General features: G+C 37.1%; 1 annotated feature.

The window, feature by feature from the left end:
* Positions 1-8,867: part of a centromere (Linear centromere model derived predominantly from reads generated in PMID: 17803354. This region does not represent an actual centromere sequence, as long-range ordering of repeats and unmapped WGS contigs is not provided by the model. For details of model production, see http://arxiv.org/abs/1307.0035.) that runs on past both edges of the window.

An 8,867-nucleotide genomic window follows, 5' to 3' on the forward strand; every position in this document is an offset into this window, starting at 1 on the left:
AGAAGTTTCCCAGAATACTTCTGTCTAGTTTTTATATGAAGGTATTGCCTTTTAAGCCATAGGCTGCAAATCATGCCAAATATCCACTTGCAGATTCTACAAAAAGAGTGTTTCTTAACTGCTCAATTAAAACAAAGGTTCAACTTTGTGCGATGAATGCGTACATTACAAGGAAGTTTCACAGAATGCTTCTGCCTAGTTTTTATGTAAAGATATTTCCTTTTCCACCATAGTCCTCAAAACCCTTCAAATATCCATTTACAGATTCTCCAAAAGAAGGTTTCCAAACTGCTCAATCAAAAGATAGGTTAAACACTGTGGGATGAATGCACACATCACAAAGATGTTTCTCAGAATGCTTCTATCTACTTTTTATGTGAAGATATTTTCTTTTACACCATAGGCTGCAAATCGCTCCAAATATCCAATACCAGACTCTAGAAAAGTAGTGTTGCAAACTGCTCAATCAAAAGAAAGTTTCACCTTTGTGTAATGAATGCACACATCACAAAGAAGTTTCTCAGAATGCTTCTGTCTGGTTTTTATGGGAAGATATTTCCTTTTCCACCATAGGCCACAAAGCGCTCCAAATATCCTCTTGCAGGTTCTACAAAGAGAGTGTTTCAAAACTGCTCCATCAAAAGAAATGTACAACTCTGTGAGATGAACGCACACATCACAAAGAAGTTTCTCAGAATGATCTGTCTAGTTTTTATGTGAAGATATTTCCTTTTCCACCAAGGGCCTCAAAGTGCTGCAAATATGCACTTGCAGATTATACAAAAAGAGTTTTTCAAAAATGCTCAATCAAAAGAAAGGTTCAACTCTGTGTGATGAATGCACCCATCACAAAGAAGTTTCTCAGAATGCTTCTGATTAGTTTTTATATGAAGATATTTCCTTCTACTCTATAGGACTCAAAGCACTCCTAATATCCATTTTCAGATACTACCAAAAGACTGTCTCCACACTGCTCAATCAAAAGAATAGTTCAACTCTGTCATTTGAATGCACACATCACAAGGAAATTTCTCAGAATGCTTCTTTCTAGTTTTTATGTGAAGATATTTCCTTTTCCACCATAGGCCTCAAAGCCCTCCAAGTATCCACTTGCAAATTCTACAAAAAAAGAGTTTCAATACTTCTCAATCAAAAGAAAAGTTCAACTCTGTGGGATGAATGCCCACATCAGAAAACAGCTTCTCAGAATGCCTCTGTCTAGTTTTTATATGAAGATATTTCCTTTTCCACCATAGGCCACAAAGCGCTCCAAATATCCACTTTCAGATACCACAAAAAGAGTGTTTCCAAACTGCTCAATCAAAAGAAAAGTTCAACTCTGTGTGATGAACACACACCTCACAAAGAAGATTCTCAAAATTCTTCTGTGTAGTTTTTATGTGAAGATATTTCCTTTTTCACCATAGGCCCCAAAGTGCTCCAAATATCCAAAGCAGATTCGACAAAAAGAGTGTTTCAAAACTGCTCATTCAAAAGAAAGGTTCAACTCTGTGAGATGAATGCACGCATCACAAAGAAGTTTCCCAGAATGCTTCTGTCTAGTTTTTATTTTAAGATATTTCCTTTTCCACCATACGCCTCAAAGTGCTCCAATTACCTATTGCAGGTTCTACAAAAAGAGTATTTCTAAACTGCTCAATCAAAAGAAAGGTTCCACTCTGTGAGATGAATGTACACCTCACAAAGAAGTTTCTAAGAATGCTTCTATCTAGTTTTTATATGAAGATATTTCCTTTTCCAACATAGGCCCCAAAGCGTCCCAATTATCCACTTGCAGATTCTACAAAAAGATTGTTTCAAAACTGCTGAATTGAAAGAAAGCTTCAACTCTGTAAGATGAATGGACATATCACAAAGAAGTTCCTCAGATGCTTCTGTCTAGCTTTTATGTGAAGAATCTTCCTTTTCCACCATAGGGTGCAAAGCGCTCCAAATACCCACATGCAGATTCTGCAAAAAGAGTGTTTCACAACTGCTCACTGAAAAGAAATGTTCAACTCTGTGAAATGAATGCACATATCAGAAAGGTGTTTCTCACAATGCTACTGTCTAGTTTTTCTGTGAAGATATTTCCTATTCCACCATAGGTCTCAAATCTCTCCAAATCTCCATTTGCAGATTCTACAAAAAGAGTGTTTGAAAAATGCGAAATCAAAAGAGGCTCAAGCCTGTGAGTTGAAAGCATGCACCACAAAGACGTTTCTCAGAACGCTTCTGTCTAGTTTTTATGTGAAGGTATTTCCTTTTCCACCACATGCAATGTAGCACTCCAAATATCCACTTGCAGATTCTACAAAAAGAGTGTTTCCAAAATGCTCAATGAAAAGAAATGTTCAACTGTGTGAGTTGACTGCACACATCACAAATAAGTTTCTCAGAATGCTTCTGCCTACTTTTTATATGAAGATTTTTCCTTTTCCACCCTAAGCTGAAAAGCATTCCAAATATCCACTTGCAGATTCCACAAAATGAGTGTTTCAAAAATGCTCCATCAAAAGAAAGTTTCAACTCTGTGAGTTGAATGCACACATTACAAATAATTTTCTCTCAGAATGCTTCTGTCTAGTTTTTATATGAAGATATTTCCTTTTCCACCGTAGGCTGCAAAGCACTCTAAATATACACTTGCAGATTTTACAAAAGGTGTGTTTCAAAACTGCTCAATCAAAAGAACTTTTCAGTTCTGTGAGGTGAATGCACACATCACAAGGAAGTTTCTCAGAATGCGTCTGTCTAGTTTTTATGTGAAGATATTTCCTTTTCCACCATAGACCCCAAAGCGAACCAAATATCCACATGCAGATTGTACAAAAAGAGTGTTTAAAAACTGCTCAATCAGAAGAAAAGTTCAACTCTGTGAGTTGAATGCACACATCACAAAGAAGATTCTCAGAATGCTTCTGTCTAGTTTTTATGTGAAGATATTTTCTTTTCCACCATAGGCCCCAAAGCGCTCCAAATATCCAAAGCAGATTCTACAAAAAGAGTGTTTCAAAACTGCTCAATCAAAAGAAAGGTTCAATTCTGTGAGATGAATGCACACATCACAAAGAAGTTTCTCAGAATTCTTCTGTCTAGTTTTTATGTGAAGATATTTCCTTTTCCACCATACACCTCAAAATGCTTCAAATATTGCAGATTTTACAAAAAGAGTTTTTCTAAACTGCTCAATCAAAACAAAGGTTCAACTCTGTGAAATGAACACACATATCCCTAAGAAGTTTCGCAGAATGCTACTGTCTAGTTTTTGTGTAAAGATATTTCCTATTCCACCATAGGCCTCAAGTCACTCCAAATCTCCACTTGCAGATTCTACAAAAAGAGTGTTTGAAAACTGCTAAATCAAAAGAGGCTCAAGCCTGTGAGTTGAAAGCATGCATCACAAGGAACTTTCTCAGAATGTTTCTGTCTAGTTTTTATGTTAAGATATTTCCTTTTCCACCATAGGCCACGTAGCGCTCCAAATATCCACTTGCAGATTATACAAAAAGAGTGTCTCAAAGCTGCTCTATCAAAAGAAAGGTTCAACTTTGTTAGTTGAATACACACATCACAAAGAAGTTTCTCAAAATGCTTCTGTCTAGTTTTTATGTGAAAATATTTCCTTTTCCACCATAGGCCTTAAGCACTCCAAATATCCACTTGCAGATTGTACAAAAAGAGTGTCTCAAAACTGTTCATTTAAAAGAAATGTTCACCTCTGTGAGATGAATGCACACATCACAAAGAAGTTTCTCAGAATGCTTCTGTATAGTTTTTATGTGAAGATATTTCCTTTTCCACTGGTGGACGCAAAGCTCTCCAAATACCCACTTGCAGATTCTACAAAAAGACTGTATCGAAACTTTTCAACCAAAAGGAAGGTTCAACTCTGTGTGTCAGGCAGACACCACAAAGAAGTTTCTCAGAATGCTTCTGTCTAGATTTATGTGAAGATACTTCCTTTTCCACCATAGGGCTCAAAGCACACCAAATATCCACTTGCAGATTCTACAAAAATAGTGTTTCAAAACTGCTCAATCAAAAGAAAGGTTCAACTCTGTAAGATGAATTCACACATAACAATGTAGTTCCTAAGAATGCTTCTGTCTACTTTTTACATGAAAATATTTCGTTATCCACCATAGGCCTCAAAACGCTCCAAATGTCAACTTGCAGATTCTACAAAAAGCGTGTTTCAAAGCTTCTCAATCAAAAGAAAGTTTTAACTCTGTGAGATGATTGCACATGTCACAAAGAAGTTTGTCAGAATGCTTCTGTTTAGTTTTTATGTGAAGATATTTCCTTTTCCACCATAAGCCTCAAAGCGCTCCAAATGTCCACTTGTAGATTCTACAAAAAGAGTGTTTTAAAACTGCTCAATCAAAAGAAATGTTCAACACGGTAAGATGAAGGCACATATCACAAAGAAGTTTGTCAGAATGTTTCTGTCCAGTTTTGAAACACCCTTTTTATAGAATCTGCAAGTGGACATTTGGAGCGCTATGAGGCCTATCGCGGAAAAGGAAATGTCTTCACATGAAAACTAGACAGAAGCATTCTGACAAACTTCTTTGTGATGTCTGCATTCATCTCACAGAGTTGAACCTCACTTTTCATTGAGCAGTTTTGGAACACTCTTTTTGTTGAATCTGCAAGTGGACATTTGGAGCGCTATGAGGCCTATCGCAGAAAAGAAAATGTCTTCACATGAAAACTAGACAGAATCATTCTGAGAAAATACTTTGTGATGTGTGCATTCATCTCACAGAGTTGAACCTCACTTTTCATTCAGCAGTTTTGAAACACTCTTTTTGTAGAATCTGCAATAGGACATTTGGAGCGCTATGAGGCCTATCGCGGAAAAGGAAATGTCTTCACATGAAAACTAGACAGAAGCATTCTGACAAACTTCTTTGTGATGTGTGCATTCATCTCACAGAGTTGAACCTTTCTTTTGATTGAGCAGCTTTGAAATACTCTTTTTGTAGAATCTGCAAGTGGACATTTGGAGTGCTTTGAGGCCTACGGTGGAAAAGGAAATATCTTCACATAAAAACTAGACAGAAGGATTCTAACAAACTTCTTTGTGATGTGTGCATTCATCTCACAGAGTTGAACCTTTTTTTGTTTGAGCACCTATGAAATACTCTTTTTGTACAGTCTGCAATTGGACATTTGGAGTGCATTGAGGCCTATGGTGGAAAAGGAAATATCTTCCCATAATAACTAGACAGAAGCATTCTGACAAACTTCTTTATGATGTGTGCATTTATCTCACAGAGTTGAACCTTACTTTTCATTGGGCAGTTTTGAAACACTCCTTTTCTAGTATAGGCAAGTGGACTCTTGGAGCGCTTTGAGGCCTATTGTGGAAAGGAAATACCTTCACATAAAAACTAGACAGAAGCATTCTGACAAACTTCTTTGTGATGTGTGCCTTCATCTCACAGGGTTGAAGCTTCCTTTTGATTGAGCAGCTTTTAAACCCTCTTTTTGTAGAATCTGCAAGTGGACATTTGGAGCGCGTTGAGAACTATGGTGGAAAAGGAAATATCTTCACATAAAAACTAGAAAGAAGCATTCTGACAAACTTCTTTGTGATGTGTGCATTCATCTCACAGTGTTGAAACTTGCTTTCGATTGAGCAGTTTTGAAACACTCTTTTTGAAGTATCTGCAAGTGGACATTTGGAGCGTTTTGAGGCCCATGGTGGGAAATTAAATATCTTCACATAAAAACCAGACAGATGCATTCTGACAATTTTCTTTGTGATATGTGCATTGATCTCACAGAGTTGAACCTTACTTTTCATTGAGCAGTTTTGAAACACTCTTTTTGTAGAATCTGCAATTGGATATTTAGAGCACTTTGAGGTTTATGATGGAAAAGGAAATATCTTCGCATAAAAACGAGACAGAAGCATTCTGACAAACTTCTTTTGATGTGTGCATTCATCTCACAGAGATGAAACTTTCTTTTGATTGAGCAGCTTTGAAACTTTCTTTTTGTAGAAGCTGCAAGTGGACAATTTGAGCGCTTTGAGGCTTATGGTGGAAATGGAAATATCCTCACATAAAAACTAGACATAAGCATTCAGAAAAACTTTTTTGTGATGTGTGCATTCATCTCAAAGTGCTGAACCTTACTTTCGATGGAGAAGTTTTGAAACACTCTTTTTGTAGAATTTGCAAGTGGACATTGGAGAGCTTTGAGGCCTATGGGTGGACAACAAAATATCTTCATACAATAACTAGACAGAAGCATTATGAGAAACTTCTTTGTGATGTGTGCATTCATCTCACACAGAGTTGAACCTTTCTTTGGAATGAGCAGCTTTGAAACACTCTTTTTGTAGAATCTGCAAGTGGACATGTGGAGCACTTTGAGGCCCATCGTGGAAAAGGAAATATCTTCATATAAAAACTAGACAGAAGCTTTCTGACAAACTTCTTTGTGATGTGTGCATTCAGCTCACAAAGTTGAACATTTCTTTTCATGGAACAGCTTGGAAACATTCTTTTTGTTGAATCTGCAAGTGGACATTTGGAGCGATTTGTGGCCTATTGTGGAAAAGGACATATCATCAAATAAAAACCAGAAATACACATTCTGACAAACTTCTTTGTGATGTGTGCATTCATCTCACAGAGTTGAATCTTTCTTTTCATTGAGCAGCTTTGAAACACTCTTTTTGTAGAATCTGCAAGTGGACATTTGCAGCGCTTTGGGGCCAAAAGTGGAAAAGGAAGTATCTTCACTTAAAAACTAGACAGAAGCCTTCTGACAAACTTCTTTGTGATGTGGGCATTCACCTCACAGATTTGAACCTTGCTTTTCATTAAGCAGCTTTGAAACACTCTTTTTGTAGAATCTGCAAGTGGACATTTGGAGCACTTTGCGGCCAATGCTGGAAAGCGAAATATCTTCACAAAAAACTAGACAGAAGCACTGACAAACTTCTTTGTTATGTGTGCATTCATCTCACAGAGTTGAACCTTTCTTTTGATTGAGCAGCTTTGAAACACTCTTTTTGTAGAATCTGTAAGTGCACATTCGGAGCGCTTTGAGGTCTATGGTTGAAAAGGAAACATCTTCACATAAAAACTAGACAGCAGCATTCTGACAACAAACATTGTGATGTGTGCATTCATCTCACAGAGTAGAAACTTACTTTCATTAAGCAGTTTTGAAACACTCTTTTTCTAGAATCTGCAAGTGGACTTTTGGAGCCCTTTGAGGCCTATATTGGAAAAGGAAATATCTTCACATAAACACTAGACAGAAGCATTCTGACAAACTTCTTTGTGATGTGTGCATTCTTCTCACAGAGTTGAACTTTCTTCTGACTGAGCAGCTTTGAAACACTCTTTTTGTAGAATCTGTAAATGGACATTTGCAGTGCTTTGAGGTCTGTGGTGGAAAAGGAAATATCTTCACATAAAAACTATACAGAAGCATTCTGACAAACTACTTTGTGATGTGTGCATTCATCTAACACAGTTGAACTTTCTTCTGACTGAGCAGCTTTGAAACACTCTTTTTGTAGAATCTGCAAGTGGACATTTTGAGCACTTGAGTCCAATCCTGGAAAAAGAAATATCTTCATATAAAAAGTAGGCAGAATCATTCTGACAATCTTCTCTGTGATGTCTGCATTCATCTCACAAAATAGAAACTTTCTTTTTATTGAGCAGCTTTCAAACACTATTTATGTACAATCCGTAAGTGGACATTTGGAGCCCTTTGAGGCCCATGATGGAAAAGGAAATACCTTCACATAAAAACTAGGCAGACGTATTCTGACCAACTTCTTTGTGATGTGTGCATTCTTCTCACAGAGTTGAACCTTACTTTTGATTGAGCAGTTTTGAAACACTCTTTTTGTAGAATCTGCAAGTGGATATTTTGAGTGCTTTGAGGCCAATGGTGGAAAAGGAAACATCTTCACATAAAACCTACACAGAAGCATTCTGACAAACTACTTTTTGATGTGTGCATTCATCTCACAGAGCTAAACATTTCGTTTGATTGAGCAGCTTTGAAACACTCTTTTTGTAGAATCTGCAAGGGGACATTTGGAGCGCTTTGAGGCCAATGTTTTAAGAGAAAATATCTACACATAAAAGCTAGACAGAAGCTTTCTGAAAAACTTCTTTTTGATGGGTGCATTCATCTCAGAGTTGAACCTCTCTTTTGATTGAGGAGCTTTGAAACACTCTTTTTGTACAATCTGCAAGGACCATTTGGAGCGCTTTGACGGCTATGGTGGAAAAGGACTATCTTCACTTAAAAACTAGACAGAAGCATTATGACAAACTTCTTTTTGATATGTGCATTCATATCACAGAGTTGAACTTTCTTTTCATTGAGCAGTTTTCAAACACTCCTTGTGTAGAATCTGCAAGTGGACATTTGGAGCCCTTTGGGGCCTATGGTGGAAAAGGAAATATTTTCACATAAAAACTAGACAGAAGCATTCTGAGAAACTTCTTTTTGATGTGTGCATTCATGTCACAGAGTTGAGCATTACTTTTGATTGAGCAGTTTGGAAAATTTCTCTTTGTAGGATCTGCAAGTGGACATTTAGAGTACTTTGAGCCCTATGATAGAGAAGGAAATATGTTCACACAACTAGACAGAAGCATTCTGACAACCTTCCTTGTGATATGTGTGTTCATCTCACAGACTTGAACGTTACTTTTCATTGGGCAGTTTTGAAATCCCCGTTTTATGGAATCTGCAAGTAGACATTTAGAGCACTTTGAGATCTGTTGTGGAAAAGGAAATATCCTCACATAAAAACTAGACAGAAGCATTCTGACAAACTAATTTGTGATGTGTGCATTCATCTCACAGAGTTGAAC

Source organism: Homo sapiens, chromosome 20 (genome assembly GCF_000001405.40).
Source record: "Homo sapiens chromosome 20, GRCh38.p14 Primary Assembly".
Taxonomy (NCBI): Eukaryota; Metazoa; Chordata; class Mammalia; order Primates; family Hominidae; genus Homo; species Homo sapiens.